Genomic DNA, 20,967 nt, shown 5'->3' with positions numbered 1-20,967 from the left:
ATATTTCATGAATGAAACACTCTCTCTGCTGTGTGAGGTAATTCCAAAAAACTTCTCCTAAAGATCTGAGCTATGACTGTGGATCTCAAAGTGGATGTTCAATGTCGAATGAAAGACCTTGGAGAGCTGCCTTCCACACCCCAGACCTGTTCCTGCTTCATCTGAGTTCCTTAAGTGTCATGAATAATATGTTCCTTAAGTGAAATGAATAATAAGCCTTGATATTGGGGTAAGATATCTGATTGGTATGAGTCTAATTTGACAATGCGGTCTTTTGTATTAGCTCACCATTGATTTTTTTCATTAATAACCAACAATAAATTTCCAATGGATACATAGCATTCTACTAGGTATTTTTCAATTTTTTTTTTTTTTTTTGAGGCGGAGTCTCGCTCTGTCACCCAGGCTGGAGTGCAGTGGCGTCATCTCAGCTCACTGCAACCTCCGCTTCCGGGGTTCAAGCAATTCTCTGCCTCAGCCTCCCGAGTAGCTGGGATTGCAGGCTCAAGCCGCTCGCCCAGCTCATGTTTTGTATTTTAGTAGCGACGGGGTTTCACCGTTTTGCCCAGGCTGGTTGCAAACTCCTGAGCTCAGGCAATCCGCCCACCTCGGCCTCCCAAAGTGCTGGGATTACAGGCGTGAGCCACAACGCCGGCCTGATATTTTTCACTTTTTAAATCAATACAAATTGCTTACTTGTTTTCTAAAGTTTACCTTCCGATACAAAAGTAACAGGCTGGGGGCAGTGGCTCATGCCTGTAATCCCAGCACTTTGGGAGACTGAGGCAGGCAGATGTTTTGAGGCCAGTAGTTTGAGACCAGCCTAGGCAACATAGTGAGACCCCATCTCCAAAAAAAAAAAAAAAAAAAAAAAAAAAAATTAGCCTGGCACAGTGGCTCATGTTTGTAGTCCCAGCTACTCGGGAGGCTGAGGCAGGAGGATTGCTTGAGCCCAGGAGGTTGAGGCTGCAGTGAGCCATGATCGCACCACTGCACTCCAGCCTGGGTGATAGAACAAGAACCTCTTTCTCTCTCTCTCTTTCTGTCTCCGCCTCCTGTCTCTCTCCCTTTTAGAGTACATGTTTATTAGTATATTGCGTAAAGTTTTACTCATGTTGCATAGGCATTACTGAAATGGATCAGGTAGTTTTCAAGAGGTTAGTCATTACTTTTCAGGATCTTATTCTTAAAATTCATGTAGCTACAACCGAAAGGCTGTAAGATGATCACTATCTCAAAATGGATAACTCACAAAATAACGTTCTATAAAAATTGTACTAGAAATATAAATTGAACCCTAAATCTATATGAACACAATAACTTTTTAAGGAATATATGAACCACGAGGTAAACAAAATTAAAATCTGTGTAGCATATTTCTTGCCAAAGTTACTTGTTCTTTCAAGCTTACTGTTGTTATCTTTAGTGAAAATGTACACAGAAATTTCTTCTCAGGTCAGAAATCTTGCCAGCCTCATTAGGAAGAAAGTTTTCTGAAGAGCCTGAGCATGAAGGCATGAGGTTCATTCACTCTCCCCGACCATTATATTCAAAATTTATTAGCACATATACCTTCCAGGCTGTTCATCAAAGTTTCAGTTACTGCTTATTCTTCCTTACAGGGGTGAGGGAATACTTCCTTTAATATATATATATATATGAAAAATAATTTAAAAATTATATAATATATACATTTTATATATAATATATATTTAATTCTATATATCATACATATTTAATTAAATATATATAATTTTTTTAGGTAAGTTAAAAAATCTAAACTATATCTTAGAGGGAAGAAGCAATCTTTTTACCCCTGCTGCAATAATTGCTTTTCTCCATCAGGATAAAATTAGCATTCACCTGCCATTTTTATTTCTTCCCAAAGAATACTTATGCTACCTACATATTTTCTCCTCTGTATCAAGTTTCTTTCTTTTTTTTAACAAAGATAGCTTTTAAATGAGGAAACCCTCATTTCCCATAAAAGTGTGTGTGTGCCCATATATAACGTGACCACAAGTTTACAAATTAAGGAGGCAAACAGCTTTCAGATAGTAAGAAAGTAGCCAGAAAATATTTTATTATCATTTGAGACTTTTGTTCATCAATTTCTTGTATGTGTATCCCCATACAAAAATCAAAGAGGAAAATAGAAAAATAATTTTAAAAAAGGCTTCACACAAGAGAGGCAAGAGCACACCAATGCATAGATTCAAAAAGTACGATTTGGTGTAAGAGATAAAATAATATGCTTACATATTTTTTCTTCCCCCCATTTTATAGCCTATCATAATCTTCTCCATTATGCAAATTCAGATACCAAAAGATGTCATTTAAAAGACAGGATATTTCCCAGCTGGGCGTAGTGGCTCACACCTGTAATCCCAGCACTTTGGGAGACCGAGGTGGTGGGTGGATCGCTTGAGCTCACAAGTTTAAGACCAGCCTGGGCAACATGGTGAAACCCCATCTCTACAAAAAATACAAAAAAATGAGCTGAGTATGATGGTGTGTGCCTCTAGTCCCAGCTACTTGGAAGGCTGAGGTCAGAGGATGGCTTGAGCCCGAGAGGCAGACGTTGCAGGGTCAAGATCGCACCACTTGCACTGCAGCCTGGGAGAGAGAGCCAGAACTTGTCTCAAAAAAAACAAAACAAAACAAACAAACGAAAAAAAAATAGAAGACAGGATATTCTAACAACTCTTAATGCTTATTAACACCAAGAAAGAATAGCTTGTCTTTCCCCCAATGAGGGATATATACATCGATCTATTCATTGACATGTAGACTTGTTTCAAGTAAATATAGCAAATGAAACTGATGTGTTTGAAAATGAGTTAGTGTTACTGTTTGTTTTTCAAGGTGCCAGCATATAATATTGGTGATTACCTAAAAAATCACCAACAAGACAGAGATTTGTTTTAGAGAGAGTGATTATATATTAAAAATTGAAAATAGTATATAACTGTATTTGGAGAGTACTATAAGGAGAAGTAAGCTCAAAATACAACCTGAAAAGCATCTCCTTGTTAATTTGGACATTTCTACTTCTAGTTGCAAGTTAAATATGAAAAAGAAATTGCATTTTGTTTTATAAAGAAATAAATATTTAAAACAATATTAAATTTAGGTAACTAAGGAAAATGATACAATTTGGATAACTTCAGCAAGGAAGTTTTTATGTGTGTCACAATAAAATCATATGTATATCATATAGTAACATCTACATATAATAACATATTACTTTAGGGTCTTCATTAAAAAATCATTTAAAACATAGCTATATGTAATAAACTTAACAGACAATGATAAGTGCCTACATTCTAAAACTTGGTGATTCAAATTAAATTGTCAGAATGATTTAAAACATAAATAAAATATGTTCATAGTCATTGAAGTACCTAGCAAAAGGGTCCATGGCTTTCCTTCCATGCATTTCTCTATATTTGTATAAATAATTCTCACTCTTATAAAATAATTCCCTTAACTCATACATTTCACACCTTAGGCATAGTAGGTAGCATTCACATAGTAAGTGTTTACCATTGCAATTATCCCTAGTTCATAAAGAGTACTTGAAAATTCAAGCTTAGTAATATTATGTATACATAATACACAATTATATATGTGCATATGTAATCAATGCATACATCACATTTAATTCTGCTATTCTACAACCCACCAGCATTTTGGAATCAGGAAAACAAAACAAAACCCTGACTTTTGGTCTGGGGCATATGAGAACAATCTATGTCTTTGTCTTTTGTTAGAAAAGCTATATGAATTTGAGAAAGTTACTCGACTTCTTCAAATTTTAGTTTCTTTATTTGAAAGATGACGACAAGTTTGCTCAATCTTATATTTTGAATTAATAACTGTGAGAACATTTTGGACAAACATGCTGGCATAACAGCAGAAAATAATGTTCCTTTGATCAATAAATACTGATGTCTCTTGTCCCCCTTTTGGGAAATAATTATCAACCATAATTTTTTTACACGTTGGAATATAGCACAAAAATTACAACAGTTCTCACGCATTTTTCTAAAAACAAAAACAACATCCCCGTTAATCCCTATTTTAATTTCACTTTTAATGTAATCAAATAAATATTTATAAAACACTTTAAGAGTCTAATGGACAAATTATATAATGAACACTGTGAGAAAGTCTGAAAATATTTCCCCTTGAAAATAAAATTATTGATATGTAAACATGTTTACTGATGTATATTTAGAATTGATTCAATTACAAGGAAAGAATAAAAGGAGAAAGGAGGAGAAGGGAGGGATAAGGAAGGAAGGAAAGAAGGAAGGAAGGGAGGAAGGGAGGGAGGGAAGAAAAATAATGTTTTGCTGGTATTAAAAAGAAATCATAAAATTGTACCTAGTTAGGTGACCTTTTCTTGTCTGCAGTTAAAGCTTCTGCTAAATTGCTTTTGAGGAAAAAATGTACCTTTCTTTATTGACTTACTTCAGTTGCTAATACAAATTATTTTGTCTTGGTAGCCTGGTAAAAGATCTTCAATTGAATTCTTGCTTCTTCAAGATAATACAGTATTGACCATTCATGTAGATAAAAACCTTTATCAGGGGAGTGCTTTAATTTAAGGGGATGGAGTTTTGCATTATCTACATTTAAAGGTTTTAAGTATAAAATAAGACAATAAAAAGAAAGAGATAAGAATAGGATAAAGAAGGAACTCTAGAAAACTGTTAGAAAAACAAAAAATGTTTTTGTATTTTAGATCACGGAGGGTGTTTTAAGAGGCAAAATCAACAAGGGCAAATACACCATTTTGTGTAAATAAATATATTTATAGTTTTTATTTTAATACCATGTTTTGCACCCAGCATTTATGATTCATAATACATGTTACATAATGATTGAAATAATTTAATTAATTTTATAACATATTTATAAAGGTTACCACCATTAACCATGATTACTTCCTTGTCTGTTTGCCCAACAGGTAGAACTCTCAGTAAAACCTGCTTTCTTCTTCTTGGCTCTATGGCATTTCTATTGCCCTGAACCCTGACCACAACATTGAGCCATTCTTTTGGGCTGTCTATCTCTGTCACCTATCCTTGCAGTAAACTGCAACATTCATGAGTGCCTTGTAGCCACCGGGTCACTTGATAATTAAAGTGACCTGTTATGCAAAGGCAACAGACAGAGACACACAGAAATCAGGAAGCAATTCAAGTCCAGGCCACAGATATCCTTTTAGGATACATTCAGGAGACTCCCTTTAATATGAGGTTAATTTCCAATAAACCATCTTCAACTATTTAGGAATCTAAACAGGTGTTATATTTTCTGTAGTTAGAGTAAGACTCTTCATTATTTATTCTAATTAAAGACATACTGCTTTCATATTTTGGTCTTGATGCGAGGGAAAAAAGACTGTAGATAATTTTGTTCTTCAGTAGGAAATGTCCTACTAAGATGGAAGACACTAAAGGCATTGTTTTCAAACTGATCTAATCTACAAAGAATATGTGATGAAATTAAATTAAGACTATAACAAGGGAGACCAATGACATGGATGAGAAGAGTGAACAAAAATACTTAGTGCCAAGTGGAATATTACATTTTAGAATATTTACATATAGAAAGAATTTTTTAAACAAAATCTATTTTTGTTTTAAAAATACAATGAGAATAAAGCAGAAATATGTTAGTTGAATCTTAATTCATCAATATTTTATATGATTTTTGCAAATGCAAAAATTGTGAAGTAATTGAACTGAAAATTTTTCTATATTACATACTTAAAATATGAAATGATGAAAAAATTGATTTTACTCAATATTTTACATGTCACAGATTAGTGATGCATTTCTTATTGTCAGATAATGATTTAACCTAAGTTGAAATAAGTACTGGTTTAAATAAACCTTCAGTGCATGTAGGATTCCACAGGGCCTTGAAAAGAAGAAAACAAAAAGAAATGAATGAAATCAATAAAATAAAATGAAATTTTACTTAATATGAATATTTTAAATGTTCACACACTTTTAACAAACACAGACCAACATAAAACGGTTCTATTTATGATTTTCTCAATCAAAAATTGCTCTTAACATTTATAACAAATATATTAGTAATGCTTATAGGCTCCCAACTTCCAATTAAACATGCTCTATTACCAAACATGAGATTAAAGAGGGAAGATTAATTAGCAAATATTTTCATTCCCTTGGTTTTATAATTAGAGTACAAAAACAAGTTCTAATAAACTTTTTTTCTTTATGTATTCTTCCATCTTAAAGAAAACTGCAAGAAAATTAAATAATTAAGCACTACATAAGTCTCACGTGGCTGTCCTAGTATTTTTGCAACCCGTAGTCACCATCCAAAGTACTAAATAAACACAAAGTTTCAACAGAATTTTGCTAATCTGCAACAATTATTATCTTATTATTATATTTTAGTCTCTAAACTTTATTGCAATTTTAAGTAATAAGAAATACAAGACATTTCAAAATATGTCACCCTTTTTACAAAAAGAGACTTCATTTTGTGCTGGTAATATATATGAAAAGAAGTATAATTTGCAAGAAGCATAGAATATGATATCTGCTCCCAGGAATGTAAAAGTTTAGTTAGAGTGATATAAATGAATATATGAAAGGATGAGCCATACTACAAAGATGGTAAGTTATAATCAATAGGACAGATACATGTTAATATAGGAAACTGGCAACATTATATAGGACTGGTAACTGTAAAGGTAGGTTAAATAGAACTGATAACTGCTGAGGGAGTTCTACAGAAAGAGAAATCACTCCTTGTTTGCGTTGTCCAATCAAGGATATGAAATTGGAGCTTGGCTTAAAATACAGATATATTGTGGGGCAGAGGTATTCCAGATGAAATGGTTAAAAAGAAACCAAAATGAAACCTAAAAACTTAGAAAATGATTAACAGTTTGTAATGAATCAGTGTTGATGGAATAAAAGGTTTTAGTTTGAAAACAGTAGGTGTTCTAATTGCATAAATAGGGGAGGGTACAATTTTAGCAGCCATGGATGCTGGCTTGGGGAGTGTGGATTCTACCCTATATGCCTTATTGAGCCATTCAGTGTGTGTGTGTTTGTGTGTGTGTGTGTGTGTGTGTTTCAAATTAGAAATACAACACGACGTAAGCTGTGTGTTTGCATTTATTTTTTATTTTCGGCAAATTTATCTGTGTGTTATATAGATTAGAATGTGTAACATGACAAGACCAAAAGCAATATGAGGAAATCCTGAAGCACTCAGCAGGATTGAGAGTTGAATGTTCTTGGTAGTATGATTTTCCCTGTCACCATGCTTGTTCTGGTTCTGTGAACAGTGACCCATCACTCGAGTTCCAGCTCAAATGCAACATTGGCAGAACCATCTTCCCTGATGGCTCTTTTCTACACAGTAGCTCCTTCCCTTCACGTGGTTTCTCTTAATGTCATCTTTCTGTTTATCTCCTTTATGCCCTTAATACGGTGTGAAATTCTCTTTTTTACTTCTTTGGTTTTTAGTTTACTGCCTGTCTTCATTGACTAGAATATGAGGTTTATGAAGACAAAAAAACTTGTCTGGTTGTGTATGCTTGGTGTTCACTGCTACAATCTCAGTGTCTGGAATATCTCTTACTCTTTTTTTTTCTTTTACATAACTTTATAAATGAATAGAGGTAATAAAAGGAACACCAGGACTATAACTGTATGTTACACACAGATGCAGATACGTTATTACTAACCATTTTCTTTAAAAAAGGTCTGCAAAATCTTTAAGACTAAGAATTAAACATTAAGAAGATGCCTGCCATTCAGTATTTATTACACAAATACTAGTTGAGTGAATGTGAAAGACAGAGAGAATATATTTTATATGTTATATTATACATTTTAGAAATCTGGAATTCTGTTTTTCTGTGTATTTTAAGGTTCCCAACATTCATATACTTAATGAAAGTCTAACCCAGATCCACTTTTTAATTTTAAAATAGTAAAATGAAGGGAAAAATACCATAATAGCCTGAATATGTTCAGAGACACACATGTAATGAAAATATATGATACTAACATTTCTCTTTCCATAAAAGTTTTAATACTTTAGTATTTGTGATGTGAAGTGGACAAAAAAAACTTAATCCATCTGTGTCATTTTAAGCAAGTAGAACATGAAGACAACTGCAAGGAAATAGTAAAGTTCACCTAATGAGAACAAATGGCTTCCTGTGACTACATTGTAGTGAAAATAATAATTTGAAAGATTCTTTTTTATGATTTACCACTCTGGGGATATTATAAACTAGGAAAATCAGTTACAAAATAGGTTAATCTTCTTGGGCTTTAAGGTATAATGCATTCAATATATTGTCAAATTAGAAAGAAAAATTCTACAATATTTAACATTTATTTTTAATAATTACATTTTAGAAACAAAATTGTCATTAAATTCTGTTTCCACAAAATTTTCCAAGTTATTTTATTTTGTAAGAAAGTAGATTTGAATAGAAAGTAAATACATTGCGCAAATAATTTCATATTCATGTTAGCAGTGATGAGCTTTCTTTTTTAAATAATATATTTCTACTTTGAAAGTATATTTTATTATTATAAAAATACATATGTTCATTGCAAAAAGTGACAAAAAGAGATAAACAAAAATAAGGAAATAAAATGGTACATTCCTACAAACCAGAGATCATCACTATACCAAGCTTTCTGGATTCATTTGCACTTATTTTTTTTAACTAAAAAGAGAACCACATAGTACATTGTGTTTTTCACTTTACTTGCCTTTTTTTCCCCAGTAGTAACCTCTAAACTGTTCATGTAAATAAGTTTTCATTACATCTAATAGCAATCCTTGTTCAAATTTCTTCAGATGTCCCTCAAATACATGTTACTGCTGGACTTCCCAACCCAATTTAGTCCTGGCCATATATTACATCTTACTATAATGCCATTTAAATATTTTTGCATATTTTTAAGTTGGGAAACCATTCCCTTTATTGAGAAAACTTTTAAGATACAGAAAAACAGACTTGTAGTATTAACACCTGTGTAGCCTTCACCTCATATCTTAGTCCATTTTGCATTGCTCTAACACCTGAGACTGGGTAGTTTATTTATTTTTAAAAAAGGTTTATTTGGCTCAGGATTATGCAAGCTGTAAGATTGGGCATCTGGTGAAAGTCTCAACCTACTTCCACTTGTGGCAAAAATGGAAGGGGAGCCGGTACGTGCAGACAGGACACTCACTACCCGAGAGGAAGCAGGAGAGACAGCAGGGAGGTGACTGCTCTCTCAGGAACTCATAGAGTGAGAACTCACTCACCCCCAGGGTGGGCATTAATCTATTAATGAAAGATCTCTCTCATGATCCAAACACCCCCCATTCTCCCATTAAACCCCATCTCCAATTGGGAATCAAATTTCAGCATGAGAGTTGGAGGCAATGAACATTGAAATCATAGCACCTAGATTCAGTAATTAAGAGTTGCCATAGCTGCTTTTGGTCCTCTCTCCCTCTCTCTAGTTATTCATCATATATATATAATATATATACACACACACATATATACATATATATATGCATTTCATATGTCGTTATGTCTGTTTAGTTTCCTTAATCAAGACAGTCCCCTATTTTGTGTGTGTCTGTGTGTGTGCGTGTGTGTGTGTGATGGAGTTTCACTCTTGTTGCCCAGGCTGGACTGCAATGGCACAATCTAGGCTCACTGCAACCTCTGCCTCCCGGGTTCAAGCGATTCTCTTGCCTCAGTCTCCTGAGTTGCTGGGATTACAGGCATGTGCCACCATGTCCAGCTAATTTTGTATTATTAGTAGAGACAGGGTTTCTCCACGTTGGTCAGGCTGGTCTCGAACTCCCAACCTCACCTGATCCACCCGCCTTGGCCTCCCAAAGTGCTGGGATTACAGGCATGAGCCACCATGCCCAGCAGATAGTCCCCCAATTTTTAATAGCATCTTCTTTTTTAGGGATACCATGAGGTGTCTTGTAGAATACTGCCCATTTGGATTTTGTCTGATTTTTGATTCATGGTATTGTTTAACTTATCCACCTACTTCCTGTTTCCTGACTACTGAAAGTTAAGCCTATAAGCTTGAAAGGTTTATACTTTTTCAGGGGCAAAAGAAGAAAATATTCTTCAATTAGCAAATAATAAGTTCATGTTGACACTTTACATTTGAATATAACATTATCAGGTTCTTTCCTTTAACTTGTATTTTCATAGTTATGTTTATTTTCTCTTATCCTGAAATAACTTGGATGCTAGAAACATTAGATTTGGTTGTTAAATGTTATAACACACAAATAACGTCACAATTATTATAAAAATAGTAATATAATTTTGTTTCTGATTGAAGTTTTAGATGTTTTTTGCATTTGTCTTTGTCCTTATACTGTAACTCATTTGATAATGAGCCATTATCAAATAGCCTCCTATTGTTATTTGTGTTGTTTTTCTTCTTTAACTGTTACAAAAAATGATCATAAAGAAAACCTTATGAAAATATTATTTGGTACATATGAAAGTGTATGTTCAGGTTAAACTTCTAGAGATACCATTGCTAGGTGTAGGATAAGACTTTAATTATATTAGAGTTTTCAAAATTCTCTTCTAAAGGATATGTGCCATTGTTATTATTTAGTAGGAGAAAATTTAAAACAAAATGTAAAAAATGTTTAAAATATTCACGTGATTGAATGATATTCAGTCCTTTAAATTATGAATAGTAAAATGCATTCATTAACATTACAGTAAAATAATATTCATCTATTTGACATGTCAAAAACATATATGAAGACATGTATATGTACTTGTAATATATTTATACATAATCCAGCATTTATATGATTATTTTAACATACTAAAACCAAAGTGGAGAAAAAAAAAAACTTCCAAAAGTATAGAAAATAATACACTCACACCAAGTATTTTTTTACATTTTTATGAATTACATAAATTCTTTTTAGTTTTGTACTTTTATGACATATAATTGTGTCATATTACTGATACTCCTGCAAAGAAAAGTTAATCTTTTCAGACTCAATTAGGGTCTGTAGCATCTTTTTCATAAATTAAAAAAAAAAAACACTTCATCCTGGCACGGTGGCTCACGCCTGTAATCCCAGCACTTGGGGAGGCCGAGGTGGGCGGATCATGAGGTCAGGAGATTGAGACCATCCTGGCTAACACGGTGAAACCCCGTCTCTACTAAAAATACAAAAAATTAGCCGGGCGTGGTGGCGGGCGCCTGTAGTCCCAGCTACTCAGGAGGCTGAGGCAGGAGAATGCGGTGAACCCGGGAGGTGGAGATTGCAGTGAGCCGAGACCGCGCCTCCGCACTCCAGCCTCGGCGACAGAGCGAGACTCCGTCTCAAAAAAAAAAATAAAATAAAATCACACACACACACACACACACACACACACACACACACACACACACACACACTTCTAGGTAACATTTTTGGAACAACATTGTTTCTTTCTTTCTTTTCTTTTCTTTCTTTCTTTTCTTCTTTCCTTCGTTCCTTCCTTCTCTTTCTTTCTTTCTTTCTTTCTTTCTTTCTTTCTTTCTTTCTTTCTTTCTTTCTTTCTTTCTCTTTCTTTCTTTCTTTCTTTCTTTCTTTCTTTCTTTCTTTCTTTCTTTCTTTCTTTCTTTCTTTCTTTCTTTCTCCTTCTTTCTCCTTCCTTCTTTCTTTCCTTCCTTCCTTTCTTGAGACGGAACAACATTGTTTCTTTTTTTTTTTTTTTTTGGAGACGGAGTCTTGCTCTGTCACCCAGCCTGGAGTACAGTGGCACAATCTCGGCTCACTGCAACCTCTGCCTCTCGGGTTCAAGCGATTCTCCTGCCTTAGCCTCTTGAGTAGCTGGAATTACAGTTGTCCGCAACAACGCCAGGCTAATTTTTATAATTTTAGTAGAGAAGGGATTTCACCATGTTAGCCAGGCTGGTCTCGAACTCCTGACCTCGGGTGATTCGCCCGCCTGGGCCACCAAAGTGCTGCAATTAAAGGTGTGAGGCACCGCGCTGGGCTCTAAGTGTTTCTTATAACCCCCAAAACTTAAAAACATAATACTTTTCATTCTATATTAGCACTTTCTTTGGCTTATGAATAATTCATTCATATTTAGGGTATACTTTTCCAATACAACAAAATGCTAAACCTGTTTAAGTACTTTTCTCTCAGAAAGTTACTCTATATTAGACCACACTTTAAATAAATGTCCTCTAATGTGATAGTTTAAATTCAAATCTATAAAGCCATTTATAAACAGAGAACTCATAAAATAATGGCAAACCTGAAATAATTCTGGTATGTATAGAACTTTGATGCTTTCAGTACTCTGAAATGCAAATTACATTCTTTTTGGTATAAATTTTCTCTATAATAGATCAACTTTATAAATTTAAAATTCTAATTACCATCTTAACAATGTGGCATGAAAAAAGAGTAAAATTTCCTGGTATTCTTATTTTACAGAGCATAAGGTTAATGATACATGTGGCTTTCTTTTAGGAAACTTTCTAATATAATATTCTGAAAATCCATGTTCTTTTGTTGGCTTGTTATTAAGCCAAACATTTATGGAATATTTTCCCTTTAGCTCTCTATGGCTTTTTATAAGTTAAAAATCCCTTTACAGTTTTATTTTGAAACACTATTAATGTAAACATTTCAATGACTTTTTTCCTCTCAAATCAATATCAGTTATTTCACTGGCAAAAGGTAGAAGCTAGCTATTCTCAAATCCCAAAGCATTAATCAAGTAGCTGAAAAACATTTTGATGGACAAAGACCACACTGAGGACCAATGCTCTTGGTACATATTATCCCTTTTTGTGCATCTAAATCAAGTACAAGTAGAGTTGTCAAAGGGAATAGCAGATCTCATGAGAAAACTGAGGGAAAAATTAGGTAACTTAATGAAATCTGATTGCCTAGTGAAACAAAAGCTCTACCATGACAAAACAGAAAAGCCATGAGCTAGTGTACTGTGAAAAACAAAATACCATCTTCTATGTTACGGAAAAAATTGTTATCACTATTTCATTAGAAGGTATATGGGTTTATGATTTCTGCGATTAAAAAATTAGTGTTTCTGAGAGTTAATTTGAATACCACCTTAAAAAGAAATCATCTTTATATTAATATGTACCAAGTATAATAAAATGGACAGCAAATATTCCTAGCTAATAGTTATATAAATTCAATTTAATCATATTAAAATTCAAATAAGCATTTTAAACATTGTGTTAATGTAAGAGATGATTCCCAGTAATTCTTATTATATACACAGAAAAATTAAAGAATGCATCTAATTCTAACTTCTATAATAGGAATAATACATCAAATAAAAGCAAACTTTTTGTACCTATGTCTTATTTGTGTGTGTGTGTGTATATATGTGCATGTGTGTGTGTATTAATAGACGATGTTTTGGTGTGTATGTACAGATATATATTTCAATGACATATTTCAAGGAGATACATCTATTTCAAGGATATAATATATATTCCAAGAATATATATATTTCAAATATATGTCAAAGATATATATATATATATTTCAAGGATATTTATGTGTGTATGTCAATATATATGTACATATATGTATCATGTATGTATATATATGTCATGTGTATATATATATATATATATATATATATATAAAATAAGGATAAATTTCCTTTTGCAAATTTTTCCTGATTGTAGACCACATCAAAGGAAAGCAATGTTTTTGATAGAAATAAATTAATATAAGTCCACAAAAATTTACTTTAAACAAGTACCTGAACTAAGTCATAGAACTTAGCTTCATACAGATTATAATAATTAGCTGCAATTGATTGATGCTTTGTAAACAGATAATGAGAGATACTTCAAGCTTATACTTGGTGTTTCCTTCCAAAGGGTGGTAAAAATTCTTTCTGTAAGGACTTTTTTTTTCTTTTCCTTTTTCTTTTTTTTGAGACAGAGTCTCTCTCTGTCTCCCAGGCTGGAGTGCAGTGGCACGATCTCGGCTCACTGCAAGCTACGCCTCCCTGGTTTTACACCATTCTCCTGCCTCAGTCTCTGAGTAGCAAGTAGCTGGGACTACAGGCGTGCACCACCTACGCCTGGCTAATTTTTTTTTTAAATTTTTAGTAGAGATGGGGTTTCACCGTGTTAGCCAGGATGGCCTCGATCTCCTGACCTCGTGATCCGCCTGCCTCAGCCTCCCAAAGTGCTGGGATTACAGGCGTGAGCCACCCTGCCCAGCCAGGACTTCTTATTATATAATCTCACTTAGTACACTAGATACTCTAAGAGACTCCTAAGGCAGTCTAGGAAAAATATTAGAAAAATTTGAAATTAAATTTAGATTTCCTATAAAGGTAGCAATCTATGAGTTGGAAGTAGAAGTGGACAGAGAGAAATTTTCCATTCAACAAATATGTATTTTTCTTCTCTTTTATCAACACTACCACAACATAATTTTCAGCAAATATGATATCTATTATTACTATTTTAAACTATATAAAACCTCCTGCGTGTGTACTCTTTTCAATTTTTTTAAGTTAACATTATTTTTAACTGACAAATTGTATACATTTATGGCATACAATGTGATATTTTGATATTGATATATGTATACAATGTGGAATGATTAAATCAAACAAATTAACACATCAACCATCCCATTACTTATCTTTTTTTGTAGTGAGACATTTGAAATTTAGTTATTTTGAAATACATAATACATTATCATTAATTATAGTCACCCTGCTGTACAGCAGATCTCAAAATTTATTTCATCTGCAACTCAAGCTTTATAACCTTGGACCAGCAACAACTCATTCTCTCCCCATCCTCGTGTGCTGTTTCATCTTAATGAATATTTTTATAATTATAAGAACTTTCATAGATGACATCTAGCCTTGCTGTTTTCCTCATAACGATCTCAACCACACATTCTCTTAACAAAAGGGCTTTTGGTTCACTGATACTAATTCTATGTAGTCACTGCAGAATTAAAGACCTGGTGGCAGTCCAGGGGGATCTGGCTCCTAAGCAAAGATTCAAGATTTTAAAAAGAATCATTCAGTGCCACACTATAAAAACAACTGCATGTTGGCACTTATGTTTAGACATTACTAGTTGTCTATGCTGATTTGAGTTTAATACTTCATTCTAAAAGGCATAACGCAGTAATTTTTAAATACTTGTTGGATATAAAAAAGTACTATAGAAAATAATATAGTATATAGCAATATCCATACCTGTATGTTTTGTGAATGAAACAATGCATATTAATTTGTTATAAATTTTTAGAATTATAAAAAATTAGTGGCTTTTAGTTAATTTTTTTTCACCAAGTAATCATTGAGTGCTTTCTAAATTTGTTTAGTTTCACCAGCACACCTCTGATAAATCGGATACGCTGATATACAATGAGGTCTAATTATACATTTAAAGCATATAAATCCAACTCTGCTCTGGAAGAAGAATAGTGTTCAGGGAAAAAAGAGGGTAGGGTGAATGCAAGCAACAAACAGAAAGAGGAGAAGCAAATGTAATTAATACTGTGTGGTTGATTTTACGCAGATTTCTTCTCAGTGCTTATGCTAGATGAATATGATATAGAAGTTGCGTCGGCTGTTCCCTCAGGTAGACCGTATTCCTCTAGTGTGAGTCTCTTGATGTACTGAGCCTGAATCTAGATTTTATAATCTAGAATATAATTTTTATACTACATGATGTGTAAATGAAGCTATTCTTATCTAGGGCTCCAGCAATGACAAAGTGCTTAGTTCTTACTGACTGAAGGGACGTCAAGGAATTTTCAAGAAGCACATCACAAAGGAATTTTTGATTAAACACGATTTTCACCTCACCTTCTTTAAGTCTCAAATCTCAAACTCAGACCTCCCTAGATCACCCTATTTAAAATTTCTGATCATAGTCTTGACCCTCCCACTATACACTTAGAATTATTCTTTCTCTGTGCTATTTTTATTTTTCACATTGCTTTCAGCACCTTCAAATGCATTATATAATTTGCTTATTTACTTAGCTTATTGATTTTTAAGTATGCCCTCACCAGTTGCAAGCTCCATGCAGGAATATTTTTTGTTTGGTTAAAGGATATATTCCAAGGACCTAGAATGGAGCTGGCTGCTAGAGGGGACTTAGTCATATTTGTTGAATGAAAGCATGAATAAATTTTCAAAAGTGATGCCCTTAGAACATTACCACTGGATAAGATGTGACTCCATTACATGTTAATAAGCACCCGTGGCAGATAATCATGTTTTTAAACATGATAGATGTTTTTAAACAATGTTCTTATCTAAAAGTTATCTTTAATGTAATGGGAAAAATTATAGCCCATAAGCAAACCTGGAATATATAACTCAATTTTTAAAACTAAATGTTTTTTAATTTGTAAAAATAAACAGAAATATTTGAGATAAGTAAATATAAATACATGAAGCATGTGCGGGGGAGTCACTTTTTTCTAATAAATGCCAGAGCACATTCATACATGATCAGGAGAAGTACTGAATTTAAGAAGATAGAAGTAATAAATAAGAGCAAAACAGAAACTTTAATAAACTACAGTATATTAGCAGCATGATGAGAAAGCCTAATTGATAGTTATTCAATTCTTAGAACAGGGCTTAATCCACAGGCAGACATAATACATTAGCACAAGCACAAAAAACACTTCTGCTCTATCTAATAAAACAATTACAGTAAAAACTAATCATTCTTATTCCTAACATGAATACAGCATGATGAACTATTTTCATATTTTTTAGGACTATCTGCAAACTGCGCCAGGAGCACCACCAAAATTAAATCTGAGAAAAGTACCAGAGATTGTGAAATACACAGATAATTGCATTGAAAAGTTTTTCAAAGTGTACATCCATAATGCAAATAATATTATTTTCCTCATGTGTAAGTAGAAAACTGTATTTATAAAGCAAATCCCACCATTTGGAAAGTGTGTTAAAATATTTGAAAAAATAAACAGTGGTATGAGCATCCATTAACAAACTGATTTATGCTTTATTCATACATGAATGAGACAAAATACGTGATGCCACAGTTCAGTCCATTTTAAGAAGCCAAATTGAAACCCCTAATGATATTTAAACTAACAGTAATTAATAATAATTTAATATTTAATGAAATACCTGATAACATCAGAAGTCTTAAAGAAAACACTGCCAAGTTCAAGACTAAAAATGGCTTCTTATTAAATGTTAGTGTAAAACACATGCTAATGAAGGAAGAAACTGCTTTACTTAAAACTTTAGTGCATTTGTGGCTCAGAGAAATTTTTAAATCCTCTGACTATTCTGTGTCAATTTCAGGCATTATCTGAAAAGAAAACTTGAACTTAAAGTCAATCAACCTGTCACATTTTCAAAAACAATCTTCTTCAGGACATAAGCTGTCCATAAAGATGTCAAATTAATGAAAGTATCTGAATTTCTCACTGTCAGAATATAAGATCTTTAGAATATTTTGATTATGCATTCTCAAATATTGTAATCAAAATGCTATTTGTAGTAGTTCAAGCTATAAAATATTTACAGACAGCATATATACTACATTGAAACATCTGTTTATACATTTGATGTAATTAGATAAAAAACTTCCCTACCCCTCAATGTAATCTTGAAATGGGCAGCAATGCTACTTAACTACATCTATTCATCTTCTATCCTGTTTTAATAACACAGTGACACCTAAGAAATTATTCTTTGATCTTTCAATAAACTAAGCCTGTGCAGACAGAGGAACGTGGAAGAGGTTAAATTGGCATTGATTATTTAAGACACATTCATCATTTATTTAACAATCTCCCTCATCACAAAAACTATGGTGTTTATAGGCCTGTGCTGAGACACTCTGAATTTTTTTTTTAAGTCTTGCCATGTGCGTTAGAAGTCAGAGCACATTGTAAACTAACATTAGTTTCATGTCTCCTGACAAATCTGGTGCAGGATAAAAGTAGTTTATTGTACAAATCTTTAAACTTATTCATGGCAGTGAATTTTTAATAGATTTTATTATAATTAATGTTTTCTGGGAATTCTATTTCTTATCTTAAGCAAAATGTGTAGCAACAGCTATTTTCCCAAGGAAATTATATTAATGATGACATGTAGTATCATATATTCTGATACTCATACCAATAAAACATGATCCATAATAATCTGTAAAGAACAATTTGTGGCTAATGTTGGCAGCTTTAAGAAGAAAACAAAAGAGTATAAGAAACATCCATAATGTACAAGATTTCCACGAGATGTTTCTTGTTTTTGAATAAACACAATTTGCAAGTTATAAATAGATACATGTGTTTATAAAATATTTTTGAAAGTTAAAATAAGGTGAAACTATATTTCCTGAGGGTGAAACAGAACAAAATACTATAAATTGAAGAATAAATGATTATTATTGCATATAAAATATTAAAAAATATTTACAAATAAATATTGAAAATATATCCTGGTCATGGGAGAAATTGTACAGTTTATGAATCATATATTTCCAGTTATGTAGTTTATGATACTGAAAGTGTTTTACTTATTTTTGATTTGTTTAAGTATTTCCATCCCCAGTTTTTCACATGCAAGATGCCCTAAAGTTTAGTATTACAGTTACATCTAGTTACTTTCATAAGTTTTTACATGCATATTTTAGAAATTTAATTTGCTCATATGAAGGGGATTCTTTAGGGACTCATTGTCAAAAAAAGTATTATTCTTTAACCTTAATTCAATACAGTAAGATGCATTAAACTATCACTGTAACATACGAAACAAGCTAGGAACATTGAAGATTTAATGAGGATTAACAATTACCATGGCTTCATTTTACATTTTTATTTTCATGCTTAGAGAACTAAATGACATTGATATAAGAAATATCATAGAAATTAGAAAATTATGAGGCATGGATAGGCAAATACGTAAGAGGCTGCTGGTAACTATGGTGTTAGAATAACTATCCACAGATAAGTCATTTCCCCAGAGGTGTCGTTCATTCCTCAGTAACCAATTCTCACAAGCAATCACTAATAGTGTCACATAAAATTGATGGTATTACATAAAAGTCTTACATTTTATATTTATATTGTCATTTAAAAAGTTAGAATTCTGTCTCCCAAACATTGTTTCTTTAAATAAAATTGAAAATTTGAATCCAAATGTATATTTGTTTTCTCTTTTCCAAGCACATTACCTTAAATAAAAGACTAGACTCCCAACAAACGTCATGTAGTAGTAAAAAAGTGACTTCATTTTTCTGAAATTCAGTTAACTTATTTAAAAATTTGGGGGCTTGAAGTAAGTGGATTCTAATTTAACTTGTAGTCCCTGTGTTGTATGATGTTATATTAGAATAAGATTTAATGAAAATTATGATTTTATTACTCATATTGAACAAACTCTCTGTCTTGCAGATTTATAGATACAAAGGTTGTTATTTGTAAAACACATATTGGGTTTATATCCTAAGGACTAGCATATAAATATTTTCATTAAAAAATTTTTAGGCAGGGGGTGGTGGCTCACGCCTGTAATCCCAGAACTTTTGGAGGCTAAGGCGCGTGGATCATTTGAGGTAAGGAGTTCGAGACTAACCTGACCAACATGATGAAACCCTGTCTCTACTACAAATACAAACAGTAGCCGGCAGTGATGACGGGTGCTTGCAATCCCAGTTACCTGGGATGGTGAGGCAGGAGAATCACTTGAACCCAGGAGGCGGAGGTTGCAGTGAGCCGAGATCGCGCCAGTGCACTCCAGCCTGGGCAACAGAGTGAGACTCCATCTCAAATAACAAACAAACAAACAACAACAACAAAAAACCAAGTTTTTAGACAGGAAAAAAATCCCTCACAAAAGACCAATATTGAACTACTTGTGGTAAATACTCTTTAAGGACCATAAAATTATTTCTTTTTAAAAATAGATGTCAACATAATTTAAGTAACATACAACACTGCTAGAAGCATTTCAGTTACAAAATTGAGATCTAGAATTTAGATATCTAGAGTAAATATACCTTAAAATAAACATAATTGAATAATTTTTAATTCATATTTTTTAGTGTTGTTTTTAATTAAGAAAATAAGGTATATAAACACTTGAAAACAATTTGTGCAGTGATTCAAAGCTTTGGTTTATTTCCTAAAAGAAAAGTAGTTTTATATTAAATTAATGTAATTTGCACGGCAACACAAAAGTAGCATCCAAGTTTGTTATTTAACATAATGAGACCATGCAGATAAACATATAATTTATCATTATTCATCATCATAAAACTTAAAATTATTTCTATTTTATTTCTACTTATCAGCAAAGTGCTAAAAATAAGAATAAATGTTTTTAAATAGAAGAGGGGGTCCTCATACATGTTAGCTACAAGATCAAATTAATTCCTTTATTTTTTCATCAAGAGGAAGTTGAAAGTCATGAACTTAGGCAAAATGCAAATTTCTTAGCTGTGTTTAAGAAAAAAATGAGCATTTATATCAATGTTTTCCCAAATCATCCAGTGTTACTAGATGTAATACTGTATTAAAACATGTTTTACAATCCTATTTTGACAGTTCAACAAGTATTTCGCACTAACAGAAAAATACTTTCAATTAAATTACTTTCTGCTGCCTGCACTGAAGCCCAAGAGCTAAAACATTATTTTAAATTTTTCTTCAAAGTTGTTTTTGCCTTTAAGTGTCTGCATATAAAAATGATGTGCTTCACCTTTGGTGATTACAAACATAGTAACTTTATTAAACTGTTAATAAATAAATATTTTCTTAAAAAATAAATTGCCCTAGTCTTCTAATGCATATCTTCTACATGTCTGCAAATACACTAATTCAAAAGACTGTACCAAAATTGTTGATGTAAAAAAATTAATAAGGCATTGG

The 20,967-nt window shown here is 32.6% G+C and overlaps 1 protein-coding gene across 23 annotated transcripts in view; it reads right to left on the bottom strand.

Annotated features, from left to right (window-relative positions):
* Positions 1-20,967, bottom strand: part of CCSER1 (coiled-coil serine rich protein 1) — a 1,477,902-nt gene that overhangs the window by 660,686 nt on the left and 796,249 nt on the right. For 4 of the 23 annotated variants that reach the window (XM_011531945.2, XM_011531948.2, NM_001377987.1 and 1 more), the window contains one exon: positions 4,800-5,934. The exons of the other annotated variants lie outside the window; for them this stretch is intronic. Coding sequence is in view for 3 of the 4 variants with exons in the window: in XM_011531948.2 (XP_011530250.1) it covers positions 5,875-5,934 (60 nt within the window). In the remaining variant the exon portion in view is untranslated. Of the gene's footprint in view, positions 1-4,799; positions 5,935-20,967 lie in introns of those variants that run through there. 23 annotated transcript variants of the gene reach the window in all.

The sequence above is a fragment of the Homo sapiens genome, chromosome 4, assembly GCF_000001405.40.
Source record: "Homo sapiens chromosome 4, GRCh38.p14 Primary Assembly".
Lineage (NCBI taxonomy): Eukaryota > Metazoa > Chordata > Mammalia > Primates > Hominidae > Homo > Homo sapiens.
This window is presented reverse-complemented; position numbering and strand designations above follow the sequence as displayed.